Here is a 21,997-nt window from a genome sequence, read left to right on the forward strand (position 1 = left end):
TCCCAGCTACTCAGGAGGCTGAGGCAGGAGAATCGCTTTAACCCAGGAGGCAGAGGTTGCAGTGAGCCAAGATGGCACCACTGCACTCCAGCGTGGGCAACAGAGTGAGACTCTGTCTCAAAAAAAAGAAGGGAAATCTGCTTTACTCAGTCTACAAATTCTACAAATTCAAAAGTTAATTATCCCGAAATACCCTTACAGGCATGCCAGAATAATATTTGGCCAAATGTCTGGGCATTTGGGGGCCCAGTCAAGTTGACACATGAAATTAACTATCACACCGTGGAAATCCTTATCCCCATGCTCAGCACCCCAGACAAGCACATGCCAGGCTCAGGCCACACAACCCTACAGGTCTTAGTCTCAGGGCCAGGTATGTTTCAGGACTCAGCATTTTTTCAGATGTTAGAAAGGTAAAATTATACAAATGCCATATATTACGTCAAATCCCCAGTGGACAGTTCTCTGGGAAACCGCATCAATATTTTCATAGTGAAACATGAATAATTAATGTAACAGAAATATTCAAACCACAATTATCCTCATGTCAGTTCAGCTCAGGTTTTGCTGCCAATGAATTGGGTGAGTTTTACTGCCACATTGAAAAAAAATAACCTCTTTGTTTTCAGAGGTACTTTTAAGATTGAAATATGACATAGCAGATTTTGTGCACCTATATTAATAGTGACTAGATGCTGAATTGGGGCCTAGCTAGTTTTCCCATGACACACTGTTTTGTAAACAAACACAAAGTTTGTTTTAAAAAAAAAAGTTGATGCATAGTGATAGGAATATTTTTATTTCAGAAACATATTAGGATAAAGAATTGGACCATTTTTTGCTAGAAAATTAATTAAAAAATTGTTGAGGGTAGAGGAAAAACAGGCACAGCTAAGACTGTATGTTGCAACAGTCCTTCTAGAAAACAATTTGACCATGTGTATCCACAGCCCTTGAAGCTTTTATGACTTTTAACCCAATAATTTGACTTGTGAGAAAAAAAATTCAAACTTCGGAGGAAAAATAAGTATGAAGATGTATATTTCATCATTATTTGCATGTAGGATACAATCTAAATACTTTAAAATAGAAAAAGGATTAAAGATTTTGTGGCTTACATATGCAGTGAAGTACTATGAAGTCATCAACTTGAGAAAATGCTTGCAATATAGTATTACAAGGGAAAACTGTGTGTATAATATAGTGCAGTGGTTAAGGTTACTGGACAGATTGCTGAAGTTTGTGTCCTCAGAAAGTTATTTAACTGAGTCTCAGTTTTCTCATACATAAATGGTGACAGTCATCGCAGCAGGCAGAATAATGCCCTCCCAAAAACATCCCCATTGACCTGTGGATATGTTAAGTTAAATGACAAGAGGGGAATTAAGGTTGCAGCTGAATTAAGTTGCTAATAAGCTGACCTTAAACTGGAGGATTAAACTGGATTATCCAGGTGGACCCAAAGTTATCTCAAAGGTCTTCAAACACGGAAGAGGGTGCAGGAGAGGGAGGAAGAGTGGTGCAATACGAGAAAGGCCCACTGTTAATGGCTTTGAAGATGAACATAAGGCAAAGAAAGTAGAGACGTCCAGAAAGTGGAAAAGTCAAAAAACAGTCTCCCCCAGAGCCTCCAGAAAGAATGCTAATTCTGCTAACAGCATGGCTTCAACCCAGTGAGACCAAGGCTGGATCTGTAACCTCCAGAACTGTAAGAGAATCCATTTGTGTTGTTTTAAACCACTAAGTTTGTGGTGATTTGTTAGAGCAGCCATAGGAAACTAATATAGAATAATGTTTTACTAGTCAGGGAAATAAATTAACCCCAGCCAAAGACCTACATGCTCAAGAAATACTGTTAATATTATAATTATCATGTGTATAGAAAATACTGAATATCAATATTTTATCAATGTTTCCTCAAGGAAATGGTTTATAAGTGATTTTCTTGTTTCTTTTTAATTTCAAGATTTTCTAAACTGAGGATGAAATTCTTTTGATTCAATGTAAAAATAGCAATAAGTACCATACAAGAGTTGTTTAGTTTGGGGAAAATCTTACTCAGATCCAACTCCTCTGACCGCTCCAAAACCAACACCCTAGGCCAGTGGTTCTCAGCTGGGGGTGACTTTGCACCCAGGTGACATTTGATCATTGTAAGGTACATGGATGTGCTTTGGTCAAGGAATAGGCTGAGGCAGACATCCAGGCCTGCATAACTCAGCGAGTTTGGTGCACAAGCACACACCTCCACTTGTTATATAACCTGTTTGTGTAAGTTCATACCTGGCTTTAAGCCACTGTTGTCCGTAAAAGGTGTAACCGTCCGGCTAACGCTATACAGGGGATCTCGGGGCTCAGCTCAGCTTAACATGGTGGGCACGCTGGCGTCCAGAGAAAGAGAGAGAGAGCCAAAGCTGTCCATCCTGCGGACAGACAGGAGGGAGCCAGGGCATAGCTCTGCTTGCTTGTGCCCAGAGAAAGAGTTAAGCTGCTGACCCTGAAGGCAGGGGAGAGCCAGCCATGCAGCTGCAGGTGTGGGGGGCAGCAGGAGCCACAGAGCCAGAGCAGACAGCTGAGATAAAGGTGGACAGTGTGAGAAAGCTGTTGATGAGAGCTGCTGCTAAATAAAATCATCTTTCACCTGCTCACGGCCCCCGGAGTGTTCTTTCTGCTCATCAACCCACTCCCCTCTGGACTTCAGCATGGGCTGGACCTGGACCCTGGGATCTGATACCATCACACTTAGAATAAGTTGCTAAGTCCCTTAACATGGCAGGTTCTGTGACCAGAGCGTCCATCAGTGATCACTGATCCCCTTGTTCAAGCTATCCCAACCACGATGGCCGCCTCCTTGCTGCTCCCTGAACATGTTAAGCATGCACACACTCAGGTATTGGTGCTTGCTATTCTGACTATAGAGAGCAGTTTTCTCCTAGAGCTTCACAAGGCTCATTCTTATTTCACCTGGATCTCTGCTCAAAGGCTACTCCATCTGAAAGACGTTTCACGATCACCCTATCTAAAGTATCACTCTTCCCCCAATCATATTGTTCTGCCTTATTGATCTTCATATCATTTTGGTACCACACACACATACACGCACATGTATCAATCAAGATTCTCCAGAAAAACAAACATATACAACATATACATATACCTATGTGTATATATACATATACAGAGAGAAAGAGAGAGAGAGACAGATAATTGATTCATTTTAAGGAATTGGCTTGCTTGCTGTGGGAGTTGGTGAGTCCAAAAATCTCAGGGCAGGCTGGCAGGTCAGAGACCCAGCAAAGCACTGATATTGCAGCACAAATCTGAAGGCAATCTGCTGACAGAATTCCTTCTCCTTTTGGCGACCCAAGTCTTTTCTCTTAAGACCTTCAACTGATTGGATGAGGCCTGCCCACATCATCAAGAATAACCTGATTTACTGAAAGTCTACTGGTATAAATGGTACTCACATCTAAAAGAAATCCCTTCACAACAACATCTGGACTGGTATTTGACTGAAAACTGAATAACATGGCTTAGCCAAGTTTAATTATCACAGGGTATTTTACGTATTTATTTTCCAGCCTCTCCATCACGAAGTACGTGCCATAAGAACAGGAGTTTATCTGTTTTATTTGCTATTACTTTCCCATTGCCTAAAACAGTATCTGCATAAAACCAGTACTCAGTAAATGTGTTGGCTACATAGTGGTAAATTGTTTAGCCTCAGAAAGTCAGCTGGTTGCTTGACTGAATCAAGTAAGTCAGTACTTAAACTGCTCTGTCACAATGGAGCCAACTCAGACCTCACAGCTTGTGAGACATAAATTTAAATCCTACTGTCTCCATTCCAGTGCTCCCTAAAGCCGTGGTGATGGCCACACAGATTCAGGCATTAGGGAGGAGGCCAGTGGGCAAAAATGGGTCCTCTAATGCTTAAAGTAAAACAAAGAAGCACTGAAGGTGTGGCTGCAACACCAAGGAGATAAAAATATAAATGGATGAAGGGGAAGAAGAGTTGGCTGCTTCTGAGGGAGGAAGCACCGAGGACGGAGAATGCACAGCAAAGCCCAAATGTACTCTGTTTAAAATCCTGCCACTCATCAGGGGTGACCCTGAGCAGATCCCCTGGCAGCAGAAGGATGCTAGCTCCATGGGGGAGCAGTCATATGCTGAGGGAGCCACGTATGTTGACAAATACAACCAACAGCAAACATAAAGCAGAATAAAAAAGCTGTCACTACTCACCCCACAAACATACACACACACTCACTCGCACACACAACCAGCCAGCCACTCACAGAGTCTGAATTTCTACTGCATAACTACTCTGGGAAACCATCATTAAACCAGGGCTTTGTGTAGGTACTGCTGAGCAGAAAACCACCTGCACGCTCTGTCCCTATCACTGTAAACATCTTGTCCTCTCTCTGCCTACTACACACTGGACCACGGACTACATACTTTATTTCTCTGAGCCTCAGTTTCCTTATCTGTGAATTGGGGGCTATGATATCTACTGTGTAGTGTTGTTCTAAAGATGAAATCAAATACGTCTGAAGCAGTGCTCAAGCTAGGGTATGGCACATAGCATGGGCTCTAAATGTATGCAGACTTAATCTCTCCAGGCCTCTCTTTTCCCCAGGTACAGATGGGATGACAGGAGCATTAATAACTCATACCTCGTTCAGCTTCCTTCCTTGCTCACACCACATTTCAGCCCCATTCAGAAGCTTACTAATTATGACAGAGGGACTGCTCTTGAATGTCTCTGTCTCCACTGTGCATGGCATCTCTGCTTCCTTCTACCCCTTGCAGGTGCCTTCACCCAGTCTGCTGGATGTGGAATCACCAGGGATGCCTCACCCCTGCACCTGCTGCCTGCACCCCAGGCAAGAGTGGTGGTGTCCTAAGGAAGGGGGCTGCTTCTGAATGCTCCTGAAGCTGCTGGCATTCAAGGCACCAGAGGAAAGCTGCATTGTATGCACTAGTGGATCTCCAGGCGAAAAAAATGCCTTTACCCTGCACTGCTCACATTTCCTACCATTTATCAGCTGAGAGCTTCAGGCAGATTATTCCATGTCTCCTATTTTTCCTAATTAAAATAGGGGTGAGAAAAAAATCTACTTCACTCAGCTGGAATAAGGAATAAAATGGGGAAATGTATACAAACGCACAGAGTGGTACCCATCTGGAACATACATGGTGCTCAATCTCTATCGACAGTCCTTGCCACCATTACCTTCTTTTCCAAGAATGAAAACTCAGGACATAAAGCTAAGATATTTGTATACCTTCATCTCAGAGCAATCCCTTCAGCTTCTTCCTGGTTGCTTGCTATGAAATGAATATTGTCTCCCTCCCCCAAATTCATTTGTTGAAGCTCTAACCCTCCATGTGGTGGTATTTGGAGGTGGGACCTTTAGGAGGTGATTAGGTCATGAAGTTGGAACCCTCAAGAATGGGATTAGTACGCTAGTAAGATGACACATATGAAAGATGATCTATTTCTCAACCATGTGAGTCTATGGCAAGAACGTGGCCACGTATAGACCAAGAAGAGGGCCCTGACTATGCTGGCACACTAATCTTGGACTTCCCAGCCTCCAGAACTGTGAGAAATAAATGGGTTTCTGTGAGAAAGCCATCAGCCTGTGGTATTCTGTTACAGCAGCCCAGGCAGACTTAACACAGTGCTTCTTCATGAGTCTCAATATTGGGGCAGGCACTGATTCCTGCAATGGACACCAAGCCATCTTCTCACCCTAGGTCTCCCACAATTATCCAGAGTGTGTGTGACACACACACACACACACATTATCTTCCTTTTTCTAGTCTACAAAAAGAACAAAGAAAAACAAGATTCTAAAATAAACAAAACAAAGCAAACATTGTGCTAATTGTTTCTTATCCATTTGCACACTAGGCATGCCCAGAATTTCTGATTCTCAGGCTCAAGAATGCCTGTTGCAAAATGAGCCTTCTTCTGACTCCCTGTGACTAAAACCATCAAGCCAGATCCAGGCTGCTTATCTGTGGTTCTCTGAGGTCATTATACATTAAAGTAAAGCTGGATCCCACTATAAACCAGGTCAGATGACTCACATATTCAGACCTTTGTTCAACTGTGAATTCTGCAGATTGTTAACACCCATTCTTCACATTGGATTCATGTAAACCTAGTACGTGGGTTGCTGTTACTTGTTAAAGATGAGAAAATGGTGATGACTAGAAATAATAGCACTAGTTACAAACACAGGCCCTAAAGCCCATAGTCTTAACTCTCAGAAAGAAGAGAGGAGTCTAAGGAGAGAATTTAGAGAATTTTTGTACTTAGGTGGGAAAATAACTACATCTTCATTTCATTCACCTCTAACTGAAATTTAGCATTTCTTTGAAGTTTGAATGTAAGCAAAAAACCAAAGTACTATTAACAGTAACTGTATCATTGATGGAAATCACAGGTATTTTTATATCACATTACAATTATTACAAACACCACAAAATAATGTCATTTAAACTTATTGCCACTTCAAAATTATAATAATTACTAAACTTGTTGCCAGTCTTGTTTGATACATTAATAAAGATGTCCACATATTACTATAACATAAATTCTTTTAAAAATATTTTGGACCAGGCACGGTAGCTCATGCCTGTAATCCCAGCACTTTGGGGGCCGAGGTGGGTGGATCACTCGAGGCTGAGATTTTGAGACCAGCCTGGCCAACATGGCAAAACCCCGTCTCTACAGAAAATATAAAAATTTGCTGGGCGTGGTGGCAAGTGCCTGTAATCTCAGATACTTGGAAGGTTGAGGCAGAAGAATAGCTTGAACCCAGGAGTCAGAGGTTGCAGTGAGCCAAGACCACCCCACTGCACTTCAGCCTGGGTGACAGAGTGAGACTTCTCTCCTGTACCTCAAAAAAAAAAAAAAAGTATATATCTTTCATACCTATACTAAAATATAATTGGTTCGTGTTGAATTTCATAATGCATATGTATTATGATACATATTATATTAAATATCATTTCACATTTATTATAATAGGTATTATTTGATATTAGATATTATTTGATTATTAGGTAATAGATATTATTTGATAAGAATATTATTCTTAAAAAAGGATCCATAGGCTTCATTTGACTACCAGAAAGGTCCAGAGAACAAAAGTGGTTCAGAACCTCTGAAGCAGACAATTTTTACAAGAAAGGCATTGGGGAAAAGCACAGAGAAGTTGGATGAAGTTGGGCAAGGTGTTTGTTTATATGTAGGTAGCAGCAACGAATGGCAGGTTTCTATGGGTTAGTATTAACGGTCTTCAAATTCTTGGATAAGATCCTGATATTAAGATAATACAAAATATATCCCTTCCCTATCTTCCCCTGCCCTCCCCTCCCCTCCCCTCCCTTCTCCTCCCCTCCCCTCCCCTTCCCTTCCCTCCCCTTCCCTTCCCTTCGCTTCCCTTGGGTCCAAGCCTAGATGGAGTGGGCTACCCAGCACCTAGTCAGCAATCTGCAGCTGCTGTTTAGAATTTTAAATAAACCATTTACAAAACTCATCCTTCAGCCCATTTTAGCCTCCAGGTGAAAAGTAGGCTTCCCTCCTACTGTTCCCTCCTGTATCTGTGACCCCACCCCCATGCTTTATAATTGTCTAGTGTTTTAACATCCTCCAAAATCATTGGCATCTTAACTGAGGTCTTTAAGTACCTTAAAACAGGGGTCAAAAACTCAAACTTCCTCATGGACTAAGCAGATTATGTTAATGAGTGAAGATTAAACCAGTTGACTTGGGATCCTTCTGGTATATTGCAATACATTCTGGGGTCACCCAATCCTTGCTACATTCCCCCATTTTTTTCCAGACACTGAGTCTGTGTATTGCTGTACTGCAATAATGACCAGTGTTTCCAGAGCTTACAATCTTTCAATAAAAAACAGAATTCCAAAATGTTATATGATATATTCCAATTTTTAAATGCTATGAGTCAAATTTAGCCAGTAGCTGAGCTAATAACCTCTGGCTTAATAATGCTAACATCATAAGGAAATTTCTAACACCAAGGGAAGATTATTTTGATGGTGGCCTCCCCAGGACCTTCTTGGGTACCTCAGAACAGCATTTGACAAGGTTTTTCACATGCGTGATTATATTTGCCCCTAAAGAGCTGGGGCAGACATTAGGGACACCGTTCTACACGTTAGAAACTGAGACTCAGAGAGGTTGCCTGACAAGCCCAACATCACACAGCTAGACTGGAGCTGAGCTGTGCTATATTTCATTCTCAGATGGCCTCGCACTGCAGTGCTTTGCCCTAAACACTCCTGGGCAGTCAGTTAAGAGCCAGCCCTGGTTTAAGCTGGCTACCTCTGGCCTCCAACTCTCTCTCTGGGATACATTTAAATAGCTTTAAAACAGAGGCTTGGAAACATATAATTTTGGCAACTAGTCCAACTGCTCTGACTACCTCTAGTATTTTATGTTCTAATCAACTGACTTCATGTTTTTTAAATCCTCATATACATACTGGTGTGCAGTGATCTGACGGGCATCATGGAACAACTTTGACTTTTCCATTTGCTCAAGGATTTTCACAGGTTGATCACATCAGCAGTAAGCTGTGGGTCCCTCCCCCTTCTCCTCTGTCACAGAATTATTACCATGACTTGCTAGTTCTTCTGGAAATAGCCACTTGCCGAAGCGATAAATCTTAGGTTCACTATATAACCCCTGATGCATTTCACATTTTCCCACCAAATTCCACTGTCCAAATTTGGAGTCCCAACTTGACCACAAGCAGATACAATTTCACTTTGTGGGATTTTCCCAGCTTTTCCTTGCATTAGGATTGCAAAGCTTGTAACACCAGCTGTGTCTGAGCCAGCCCTCCAAAAAAGGCAATTGTGTTCCCTGATGGAATCGCTGCACACAAGAGCTGCTGCCAGCTCTGCTCCTTGAGCAGCCTTTTCAGGATTGTGGGGCTGCTTCCAGCCCCTCCTCCCCACTCACCAGTTAATGATGTTGGCCCCTCAAACAGCCCATGGTCCTTTAAAAGGCCTAGGAAAAGAAAGGGAAAAATAAAGCATACTCTTCCTCTCTCTTTCCCTGGGAATCCATTTTTATTTTTTTATTTTCTTCATCACCAAGATTCTCATCAATCTTGTATTTATTTCATCAATACACATTTATTTATAAATTACCATCCTTGTCCTTGGCACTTATGTTAGGGGTTGGGGAAAATAAGCTTAAACAAGGCAGGTGCTATTTCTACCAGGACTCATAAAACAACAGGGAACTGGAAATGGGATGATAATAATAATAATAATAATAGTAATACCAGTCCACAATCCCTTATCCAAAATCTTTGAGGCCAGAGAAGTTTTAGAATTCAGACATTCTCAGACCTTGGAGACATGACACGGTATATATACATTGTATGTCATGATATATATACACTGTATGTTTCACAGAATCTCATCATCAAATTTAACTTATGTAAGACAGGTAGCCTCACATCACCCCAGGTGAGATTTTGCCCCCAAAATTCATTTTGACATCCAACTTTCTATTTTGGATTTTGGATTTTGGAACTGCAGAGATGGGATTTGGACCCTGAATGGTTTTCACTTATTGAGTGTCTACTATGTTCCAGGCAATTGACATGTCTTAGCCCCTTTCATCCTCCAAAAAGCCCTTCAAAATAAACTATATTTTGACTGTTACAAAACACCCTATCTGCTAAACTTTTTTTCACACAGACTACCTTTCATGAGCATCATTAACACTGCAGCAGGATATTGCTCTCTCTATTTTAAGGAAAGGAAGCTGAGGTTCATGGAGGTTAAGGAACTCTCAGAAGGTTGTGGAGAATGTGAGTGGTAGGCTGGGAGCCGCGTCTGCTGGTGCTACCGGAAGCTCTACTGTTTCCATGATGTAAAACAGCTGCCTTTCCTGGGAGCCACTTTGATTCCACTGAACGCCCTTCCTGCCCTTTCCACTTTTGGTTCCAAAGCCCTCCCTAGTTTCCATCAGAGGTTCTACAACATGAAAATAAGTCCCACCTCACAGATTTGTTCCACGTAACATGCCCCTACTGATGGTCATTGGATTACTCTCTTCCATTGCAAAATAAATTCAGAATCAGACTTTTCTGGGGTTGAATTTTATTCCTGACTGTGACATGAGCTAGGAAAAGTCAGTTCACCTCTCTGAGAGTGTTTTCCCATACTTGAAATTGGGGGGGAGAGATAAAGTCAATAATCATTAGCATTATTACGGGGATAAAATAAGCTAATTTGTGTAAAGTGTTTAATGTGATGCCTGGAAAAGCATAAGTGCTTGACAAAGAGTAGCTATTACTGGGGCAATTATTATGACTTTTGTTATCATCGTTATTGAAAACTTATTGCTTGAGCACAATCTGGGCTAAGTAGGAAACTAAGTGAATGTGATGCAGTAGTCTATTACATTGTCACTACCTGGCAAGCCCAGTCTCTTCTGAAGAAAGCTGATCATATTATCCACAACACTGAACAAAACCCAGTGCCCCAAGAATAGGAACTTGACCCATAAACTGTCACCTAAGGTGGCTTCTGGCTTCTGAGTTCTCTTGGTACAAAGCACTTGCACACAAGAAATAATAGTGGTTTACTGAGTCTATATAAATATCTTTTTATTTGTTTCTTTTTTTTTCCAACTTTTATTTTAGACTCAGGGGGCATGTTTACAGGTTTGTTATCTGGGTATATTGCATGCTGAGGTTTGGGGTATGAATAATCCCATCACCCAGGTACTGGGCATCATACTCAATAGTTAGTTTTTCAATCCTTGTTCCCCACCCTCTCACCTCTAGTAGTCCCCAGTGCCTACTGTTGCCATCTCTATGTCCATGAGCACGCAATGTTTTACTCCCACTTATAAGTGAGAATATATGGTATTTTGTTTTCTGTTTCTCCATTAACTTGCTTAGGAGAATGGCCTCCAGCTGCACCCATGTGGCTGTAAAGGATATGATTTTGCTCTTTTTTATAGCTGCATAGTATTCCATGGTGTATATGTACCATATTCTCAAGAAATTCTTTTTAAAGGGAGATTGGATGTGAAAAAAAAATTTAAAAATCCAGAGCTCAAGCTATCTGCCTGCCTTGGCCTCCCAAAGTGCCAGGATTACAGATGTAAGCCACTGTGCCTGACCTATATCCACTATCGTGATTGCAGATGTATATTATGTCCAAACATTTAAAATTATACACTTTAACTATGTGTAGTTTCTTGCATGTAAGTTATAGCTCAATATAGTTGTTAAAACAGTTTAAAATAGCTTTAAAAAACTGTCATAGCTTGATTCAATGAATCTTTTTATATTAAAAAAAAAAGAAATACATAAAAGACCAGTTGGCCACAAGACAGTTGGCCACAAGAGGGTAGAGAATAGACATAAGGGGCAAAGAAGAAGAGGAAGAGGAAGAAGAGGAAGAGGAAGAGGAAGAAGAAGAAGAAGGAGGAGAGGAGGGAAGGGGGAAGGGGGAAGGAGGAAGGGAGAAGGGGGAAAGGGGAAGGGGGGAAGGAGGAAGGGAGAAGGGGGAAGGGGGAAGGAGGAAGAGGGAAGGAGGAAGGGAGAAGGGGAGCATTTATAGAAGCATGGGCAATAGTTGCAGAAAGAGAAAGAACTCTGGTCAGATCATCAAAATGCCAGAGAAGAGAATTGAACTCCAAAGTCTGTGCTCTTGATCTCTACAATAAGGGCCACAGATCCTCATGCCTCTGGGGCCAGTCGAGTAATAGAAATGAGAGGTGGGTGCCTGAGGAAGCCTATGTGAAAGTGGAGCGTGCACAGCCTTTCAAAAGGGGGAAGCCACTAGTGTATTTTGATAAATGGTACTCTGTGGGAACATGAGCCAAATTTATCAGGTCTTCTGACTTTTCAAGAGAAGACAGGAATTCAGATATCCATGGGAAAAGTCCAGTGTTTTAATGTTTAAAACTAATTTGGTCTTTTTTAATCACTGTGCAGGCAAAAATACATACACACACACACACACACACACATCATTTTTGGGTTAGATTTAGTCTACAGACCTTCAGTTTGAGAATACTGCCTTATACTATCAGCCATAAGACAAGGGAGATGTTTGGTGCAATGTCCAAACTGCCTTCTCTGACCACATATGCAAACAAGAAAGGAGAAGATGTGCTATCAGCCCAATGAGAAAATATCTCAGAGTTCCAGTTGAACTCTGAGAGAAGAATCCACAGAAGATGTTTCATCAAATGGCCCAAGCCATTTCATAAATCCAAAAGGAGAGCATATGTGTGTTTCTGGTCAAGATACAGTAATAGAGACTAGATTTACCTTCCCCTTGAAACAACTAAAAAGCCAGCATTTAAAACACATGAAACATTTTTGAGACATTGAACCTAAGTCTCACCTCTTTCATTTACTTTCTCTTACAGATCACTGTCCAGTGCAGAAAAGTGATCTGTAAGAGAAGGTAAATGAATGAGGTGAGCCCTCTGACTGCCCCAGCTGACCGCACAGACAGTTTCCAGGCCACAGCACAGGGAGAGGAATCCCCATGGAGCTGGGTGGTCCCACTGAGTTGAGATGATGGATCTGAGAATGCAGGAAACCAAAATGGCTGAAGTTTGAAGAACAGAGCACTACCACAAAGAGAGCTACCTAACAGAGGCACCAGAGATTCTACAGAGTCCTCCTTGAGTCTTTAGCTGTGCACTAATCAGCACATGCGTGCAGAGACTTTATGAGATGAGGGTGGGGGGAAGCACCAACAAGGATTAGAGAAAACATTCCCTGCCACGACACTGGCACCAGGAATAATTCTTTTTTCCAGTAACCTAAGTGGAAAACCTCATACTTCACGGAGTATTGGGTAAAATGTTCAGAATAGTTTTGCTACGTAATGAAAAATAGATAAATTGTCACTCTATCTTGCCTTTAAAAGCTTAAAAGCAAAATTCGAAAGTATCAGACAATAACAATTGTATACCACTGTGAAACCATCACCACAATCAAGATTACGGGGAAAATCATCAATCCAAAAGGTTCCTCCCACCTTCCTCCTCTCCTTCCCATTTTTGGACTCTCCCCCTGCCCTTCCCTTTTCCCCAGGAAAACAATGATCTGGTTTATCCTCATTATGTAAAGTAGTTTGCATTTTTCAGAACTTTGTTGAAAGGGAATTAAACAGTATGTGCTCTTTTGTTATCTGCTTCTTTCACTCAGCCTGGGGGTTTTCAGATTTATCTATGCTGTTGCCCATGCCCATTGTTCACCCCCTTTTATTGTTCTCTAGTACTGCAGAGAATGAGAGAGTATTTCCATGGCTTAGCAGGTTTGTCCTCTGAGTGTGCGGGTCTGTAAGGAGAGCAGTGACTCTCCAAAGGGAAGGAGCATTCTACTTCCTCAAAGCTGAAAGTCAGAGATATAACATGTGCAGAAAGCCAGGAGGGCACAGGAGGAGTACAAAGCCAGTCGTGGCTATCCAGAAACAAATGCCAAAGGCTGAAGCAGCCTTCCAAGGACCAGGAGGGAAGAATTTGGAACAAATGTTTACCACTGTGTGTAGGGGTTGACCAAGAAGCAAGAATAAGGAAATTTGTTTTTGACCTTTGGAAAATGAAATTTAGAGTTTGTTTGGAACACTCCAGGTAAATAATAGTTACTCAATCTCTGACCCAGTTGCAAGAAAATTTCACCTGCTGTCTCTGACTGTATTTTATATATATATGTAATATATTACATATGTATATATTATTATATATTATATATTTATGTATAACATAATATAAATGTATATATCATATATGTAGTATATACATATATAGTATGTATACATTTATCATATATGATACATATGTATATGTATATATACACACATATGTATATACATGTATATGTACATATACATATGTATTATATATAATACTATACATATTATATACATAATATAGTATACATTATATGTGTATTATTATATATTATCTATAATATATGTAATGCTAAATGTAATATATCATAGATTATGTTATATATATCATGTAAATATTATATGTTATATATTATATATTGATACTATATATCAATATATGGTGTATAAATATAATATATACCATGTATTATATATATAATGTATAGTACTATACATATAACATAACTGGAGAACTGGTTAAGAATGATTCTGAGTTTGCACAGAGATTGAAAGAATAGTGTTTTAGCAGTGGCTGTCATAGGCAGGAGATAAGAGAATGAACAGCACAGATGTTCCATTGTTGCCGTTCCTGCTCAAAGGTTTCTCCAGTTGGAGACATGAATTCATTATTTCCTTTCAGAAAAAGACCTCTCTTTGATACTCTTCTCCTTTTTTTTTGTATTTTTAGTAGAGACGGGGTTTCACCATGTTAGCCAGGATGGTCTTGATCTCCTGCCCTTGTGATCCGCCTGCCTCGGGCTCCCAAAGTGGATACTCTTCTCCTTAATCCCTCACTCATTCCAGGAGGCACAGAGCTTCCTCTAACTAACAATAAGGCAACTGGATGTGGAGCTTCTCAGTGTGATTGAGGCTCCCTTCGTGCCATTTCACCTAATTGGGCCTCAGTTTCCTCATCTGTTACATAGACCCATGTTAAAATACATGATCTAAACTTAATAGTAAAATAAGTAATTATATTATAATAAATAAAACAAACACAATTATTTTTGTCCAATATGATGTTTCCCTATTGCAGACTTCTTATGGGCTTTTTAAAAACCAGAAATTTAATCAATTCACATTTCAGATTGACCAGTTACTTTCCCTGTTCACTTTACTCCCCATCTGTACGAGTTCCGTTCTCTACGGTGATTAAACATTTTGCAAGGATAAGAAAAATTGTTTTTGACCTTTGGGGAATTAAATTTAGAGTTTATTGTTTGGAACGCTCCAGGTAAATAATAGTTTATACAGTAATAAATTGTGTAATTGCATTTAATCTGTGCCTAGAGGCCAGGAAGCACTGCAAATCAGTACATTCCAAATAAGGCTCTCTCATTCTGGGAGGCATTGGGAACCCGCTGCAGTAAGGACATCTGTTGATGCAGCACGCATTTCTCCAGAGTGCAAAACCATGCAGAGGCCTCGGGTTTGGTCCACTTTCAGTCATTGCCATTCAAGTGATGAGGAGGACTATGACAAATTATTGGGGGTAGGAAACACTGGTCCTAGGACAGAAAATCAAAAGATTCTGAACTGTAACCAAAAGCAGACTAAGGGCCAGCTTTGGGAATGTGTTTCCAAACCCAGGCAACGGAATCGGTTGAAAAAAGCCATAGAGTAAGAGGAATGAGATAATTCATTGAGGTTTTAGTCTGCAACCTCCAGTCACAGGTGTGACTTGAATAATGCATTCCTCCTTTCTTGGCTGGGGGTAAGAAAATACAGTGATTGAGATGTGTGTACCAGAGTCAGATTGCCTGGGTTTGAATCCAAGCTCTGGCCTGTCCTCTCCCTGACCTTGAGTTCTCCAACCCTTAGCTTATTTGTCTGTAATATGGGACCAGTCAGACACCTTCCTCATAGGACTGTGTGAAATTAATGAAGAGATGCCTAGGAAGCACTATATTGGCAATAATAATAATGCTCCATTTACACCAGGGATGAGGTCTTCAGCATAAATATGTTCTTCAGACAACTGAAATGTCATCTTTTCTCTTAGCAATATTTTTTTGTTTTTATGAAAACATTGTAAAACATACCATAAACTTTCCCACATACTAAAACAGGGTATAAGAAAAGAACATAATATTTGGAGTAAGAAAATACGGGCTTTGGTCTGGCTTTGCCACTTCATAGCTGGGGGACCCCGAGGTATGGGTGTCTCTGAGCAGCAGTTTGCAGCCATTTGAAATGATGCTTGCACGTCATGGAGCTGACAGAGGAGATATAGGTGATAAATGCTTTGCACACTCATTTGCCAAAAAAAAAAAAACCGTTGTTTGTTTTTCTTGGCCATTTAAGACCATTGTTATGAACATGGATTGGTATACCGCAGCATGATTACGTTTTTACCTCATGGAAGAAAATGTAAAAAAGCACCATGTGTTCACATCATGAGACTGCCATCCTCTTGGGACACCAGGCGTCCATAGCAACTGACATGGTACTTTTCCTGTGCTCACTGCCTGGGAAATATTTGTGAAATAGATGAAATAATCATGCTGTCTTAAAATAGTGACTTTAGTCTTTCCTTTTAAAAGAAATTATGTACTAAGTATTAAAAATACAAGTCATACTGACCTACATATAAAGAAGTTAGTTTTTTTTAAAAAAACCACCCAGCATCACATCACCTAAAAATAAGCATTGCCAGGCTTTGGTGAAGATCAATTCAGTTACCACTCTATTATACATAGAAACAGAAAGGATAGCCGGGCGCAGTGGCTCACGCCTGTAATCCCAGGACTTTGGGAGCCCGAGGCAGGCAGATCATGAGGTCAGGAGATCGAGACCATCCTGGCTAACAAGGTGAAACCCCACCTCTACTAAAAATACAAAAAAATTAGCCAGGCGTAGTGGTAGGCACCTGTAGTCCCAGCTACTCAGCAGGCTGAGGCAGGAGAATGGCATGAACCCGGGAGGTAGAGCTTGCAGTGAGTCTAGATCATGCCACTGCACTCCAACCTGGGCGACAGAGCGAGACTCCATCTCAAAAAGAAAAAGAAAGGAGAGTTCACAGACATACAAATACATTGATAGAAGGTATTAAAGACAACAATGGGGTTATAAGTGTTATTTCCAATAAAAATATTATATTTAAGTTCATTTAAATGTAATATGGTAAAAAAGAAACTAAAGAAAAATTGAAATAAACTGCTAAATTGAATGTTTCTTACCTGAAACGTTTGTTAATTTGTGACCGATACCTCTAAAGTTCAAGAAATAAAAGATTACAAAATATATTATAAGAAGCTATTTAAACATTCAACGTTTTGTTGTACCCTTGGTTTCACAGAGGACTGGCATAATTACTTAGTTTCTCACCTCTCATTTCCCTTCCTCCCACATTTATTAGCTATATTACTATTTTCAATTTGTCAGTGTTTAGAGAATTTGCATTTTACTCTAAAATGATAACTATAACTATATACCATTTAAATTATATTTTAAATGTATACAATATAATTGAGCACCCATTATGTGCCAGGTGCTATTTAACATCATGAGTATACAGTGGTGAATAAAACAGAGCAAATAAAATAGAGTCCCTGCTCTCATGGAACTTATGGTGAGAGACAAGCAATAAAAAATAATATTCTGTCTACACACATACATGCACATATAAAGTATGTCAGGCAATGATAGATGCTATCAATAAAAATAAAGCAGGTGAAGAAGGAAGAGAGAAGAGTATTTGAGTGTGGAATATTTATACAGGGTGGTCCAGTGATCTTAAAACTTTCTAGGAAATAGGAAAAATACAAGAGCCAGGCTTTTTACAGTGGCTTCTTTCCTCCTAGGGCCTTTAGTTTGGTTGGATTTTTATCAAGAAACAAACACTTGAATGAATTTTTTTAAGTACTCATTGATGCTGTATTCCAAAAGTTCCCAAATGCCGGAGATGTCTCCCTTTTGCCTTATTACTTAGAAGGCAAATTGGCAGATTCTAAACTTCTTGGCTCAAGTTCTTCTCCTTAGAACTTTATGGACTTTACTCCACTGTCTTCTGGCATTGACTGTTGCTGCAGCAACATCTCAGAAGAAAGGAGACTAGGAGACCAAGTGCCTGGAGATGGGGAAATGGGTAAATAACACTATCCCTGATGATAGGGAGTGAATGTGAAACTAGGGCAGTAGAAAGGGGAACAGGGAAAGGGTCGGAAGTGTTGCAAGATTCGAGATCACTTAACTTCTCTGTGTTTTTTTTTTTTTGTCAGCATGATGTTGTATGATGAGCATGTAGAACTGGATCCCAGCTTCGGAATCTAAGAAATCTAGTTTCCAATCCAATATCTGCCCCAGTATCTGCAGCAATACCTTAAGATAGTCCCTTTGCCTTTCCGATCCTCAGTTCATATATCTATAAAATGGGAATAAGAATTACTTTGGAAAGATCTATAAGAATTAGAAGCAATATAAGTGAAGATTTTGAGTTACTGCCAAGTGCCAATCAAGTTGTTTATGCTAGATAACAAAAGCTATGATTTCTATTGTGCCAACCTTGGCTACATATCTGTCGAGGGCCAAATAATGAATATAAACATTATAAAACAGATAAAAATACATATATGTATATGTTAGAAAAATATACATACAAGATAAAATGTACATACAAAAAGATGGCACCAGAATACTTAGACTCCTGAAAAGTGCTGCATTCAATTTTGATATAATGTTTATAGATGACGTGTGTGTGTGTGTGTGTGTGTGTGTGTGTGTGTGTGTGTGTAGCAGAGCCCTTCTCTGTAAATGTCAATTTAACCCACACTTGAGTTCAAGGAACTTAAATATTATTTGCTTTTACTACTATGAAAAACTGCTTGCAAAACAGTAACATCAGCCAGGTTCAGTGGCTCATGACTATAATCCCAGCAATTTGGGAGGCCAAGGTGGGTGGATCACCTGAGGTCAGGAGTTCCAGACCAGCCTGGCCAATAAGGCAAAACTCCACCTCTACTAAAATTACAAAAATTAGCCAGGTGTGGTGGCACATGCCTGTAACCCCAGCTACTTGGGAAGCTGAGGCAGAAAAAATATTTGAACCGGGGAAGCGGAAGTTGCAGTGAGCCAAGGTCACGCCACTGTACTCCAGCCTGGGTGACAGAATGAGACTCCATCTCAAAAAACAAACAACAACAACAAAAAAAACCAGTAACCATCAAAGTGCAGATTTCTTCTTGAGATCTAATATGTAATAGGTGAATTCATATAGTTGGTCAAAGTGAAGGGATTGACTAAACTGATGAAAAGTGACTAAACAGTTAACCAACCTGGTGATTCATCAAAATCCGGCCCTATCATCACCACAACCATCCCTTCTCCTATCACAGCTGGTATAGATGTCTCTTCCTGGACTATTTTTGTCTTATCTTTCCTATACTAATAAACCAAGTATCAACTTTGAACAAACAGGGAAACTGGGAAGAATCTGATAAGTTTATATCAAACTGACAAATTCTTTGGTCCCAGTATCTACCTCTATTTTCATTTCCTCTGTCTTTCAAACTTTATTTATTTTATTTTATTTTATATTATTTATTTTTCTATCAGAAGATTCCGGGCTCCTCAAAGCACACATGAGTCTTCTGTGATGTCAGAATGGTATATCTGTGGGAAAGTACCCTCAATAGAAATAAAATACTTCTTACCTGGTTCATACCAATCTAGGTTTCTTGGAAACTTCAGCCCTGCAACATTAACCATGTTGAATCACCAGTTAACAGACTGATAACAACTATTACATCAGGAAAATTCTAAGCTTTCAGGGCACCTGGATTTTCAAGTTTAGGGCAACAGCAATACACAGCTAGAAATTTGATAGGCCATACACTGTAAGTGAATGGGATCTGAGTGCGAGAGACTGATGTGGCGTTCCCAGAGCAGGAAAACAGACAAATACTTTTGAACTGGAAGAATCCTGCATAATCATCTCGGCTAAGAGGTGAGCCTCAAACTTCAGAATACATTGGAATCACTTGGGAGCCTTGTTAAACACAAGTTGCTGAGCCCCACCTCAGAGTTTCTGAACCAATGGATCTGAAAAGGGGTATGAGATTTTGCATTTATAATGAGTTCATAAGGTGATCCTGGTGCTACTGGCTGGGGGAACATCCTTTGAGAACAACTGTATTAGAGCGGTGGTTCTCAATCTTTGCTGCATATTAGAATCACCCAGACAGATTTTTTTAAATGCCAATGCCCGAGTCAATTAAATCAGAATTTCTATGGGTGGAACCTAGTATTCAATAATCTTAAAAGTCTCCCAGATGACTCCAGTGTACAGCCAATTTTGACAATCTAATTTCCAGCTGAGGAAACAAAGACTACCTTGTTTGTCAGGACAACATCTAGATCTTGAGTCTTCTGTCTCCCACTGAGGGCTGTTTCTGCCTCATGTAGAACACTGACTCAGAAAGAATGAAAGTACATAGTAGACTGGATTAGGTAACAGGTTTTAACAAGAAACCCCTATTATAAGCATTAAAATATATGTCTTAGTTATCCATTGCTGCATAACAAATTATTTGAAGTCTTAGTGGCTTAAAACAACAAAGAGTTATTGTCTCAGTTTCTGTGGATCAAAAGTCATGCCCAGGCTTCAGTCATCTCGAGGATTGACTGGAGGAGGCTCCACTTCCAAGCTCATTCTCATGGCTGTTAGCAGGCTTCAGGTCCTCACTGGCTGTTGGCCAACAACATCAGTTCCTAGTCATATGGGCCTCTCCTTAGGGCAGCTCACACCATGACACCTGGCTTCTTGCATGAGGAGCCTGTGAGCAAGATTAAGAGGGGATCAAGCAAGATGGAAGCCACAGTCTTCCTGTAACCTAATCTTAGAAGTGACACACAATGGGATACCATCTCCCACCAGTTAGAATGGAGATTATTAAAAAGTCAGGAAACAACAGAAGCTGGAGATGTGGAGAAATAGGAATGGTTTTACACTGTTGGTGGGAGGGTGAATTAGTTCAACCAATGTGGAAGACTGTGTGGTGATTCCTCAAGGATCTAGAACCAGAAATACCATTTGACCCAGCAATCCCATTACTGGGTATATACCCAAAAGATTATAAATCATTCCACTATAAAGACACATGCACATGTATGTTTATTGCAGCACTATTTACAATAGCAAAGACTTGGAACCAACCCAAATGTCCATCAATGATAGACTGGATAAATAAATTGTGGTACACATACACCATGGAATACTATGCAGCCATAAAAAAGAATGAGTTCATGTCTTTTTCAGGGACTTGGTTGAAGTTGGAAGCCATCATTCTCAGCAAACTAACACAGGAACAGAAAACCAAACACCACATGTTCTCACTCATAAGTGAGAGTTAAACAACAAAAATACATGGACACGGGGAGGGAAACATCATACACCAGGGCCTGTCAGGGGGTGGGGGGAAAGGGGAAGGAGAGCATTAGGACAAATACCTAATACATGTAAGAATTAAAACCTAGATGATGGGGTGATAGGTACAGCAAACCACAATGGCACATGTATACCTATGTAACAAACCTGCTCATTCTGCACATGAGTCCCAGAACTTAAAGTAAAATAATAAAAAAAAAAAAGAAGAAGAAGTTACATCTCATTTCTTTCATTCACACTCAAGAGGAGGGGAAAGGACTATACAAGGGCACGAAAAACAAATGGCAAGAATAATTGGGGGACAATCTTAGAGGCTACCTACCATAATACAACTACAGAAATTTAAAATAAATAAAACACTAATAATACACCACAATACTCTCAGCATACAGAATATAAGAACATTAAAGGCAATTCAAGGCTTCTGAGACATGAATTCTCCCTTAGATGTGTGTGGGAGGGGAGGACAAAGGGGAACCAGAAAGGAAAAAGGGAGAGAGCAATGCAGAAAAAGGAAACCAGGAAAAAAGTTTTTCCTCCAAATTTCCCAGGAGTATAAAGGAAAAGAACTTCTGAAAATTATGAAAGTCAAGGGAGGTAGAACACGAAGCTTTATGGGAAATGAAAGAAACTAGTATAATATCTGATAAACTATGCTATCCATATTAAAGTCATTGGGGAAAATATGTAAGTATTTTATTTCATCCAAATATCTAGGATGGCTAAATAAATGGAATAAATATAAATTAAATCTTAAATCTTGATGAAATTCTATTCTACCTCAGGATTTAAATAATAGGCTACACAGAAACAAAGACACTATTTTCATACAAGTAAGTAGCTCAGTAGGTCTATGACAAACTCACAACTAGAACTTGGGTCTCCTGGCTCGATACTTTCCTA

General features: G+C 40.1%; 1 long non-coding RNA gene and 1 other non-coding gene across 5 annotated transcripts in view; both read right to left on the reverse strand.

Annotated features, from left to right (window-relative positions):
• CCDC26 (CCDC26 long non-coding RNA) overlaps nt 1-21,997 on the reverse strand; it is a 328,546-nt gene that overhangs the window by 119,939 nt on the left and 186,610 nt on the right. Inside the window, exon 2 of one of the 4 annotated variants that reach the window (NR_130917.1) lies at nt 9,011-9,058. The exons of the other annotated variants lie outside the window; for them this stretch is intronic. This is a non-coding gene — a long non-coding RNA (CCDC26 long non-coding RNA). The remainder of the gene's footprint in view (nt 1-9,010; nt 9,059-21,997) is intronic. 4 annotated transcript variants of the gene reach the window in all.
• On the reverse strand, nt 12,425-12,510 carry MIR3686 (microRNA 3686). Its single transcript, NR_037457.1, has one exon. It is a non-coding gene; the product is annotated as a microRNA 3686 (primary transcript).

Source organism: Homo sapiens, chromosome 8, assembly GCF_000001405.40.
Source record: "Homo sapiens chromosome 8, GRCh38.p14 Primary Assembly".
Classification (NCBI taxonomy): domain Eukaryota; kingdom Metazoa; phylum Chordata; class Mammalia; order Primates; family Hominidae; genus Homo; species Homo sapiens.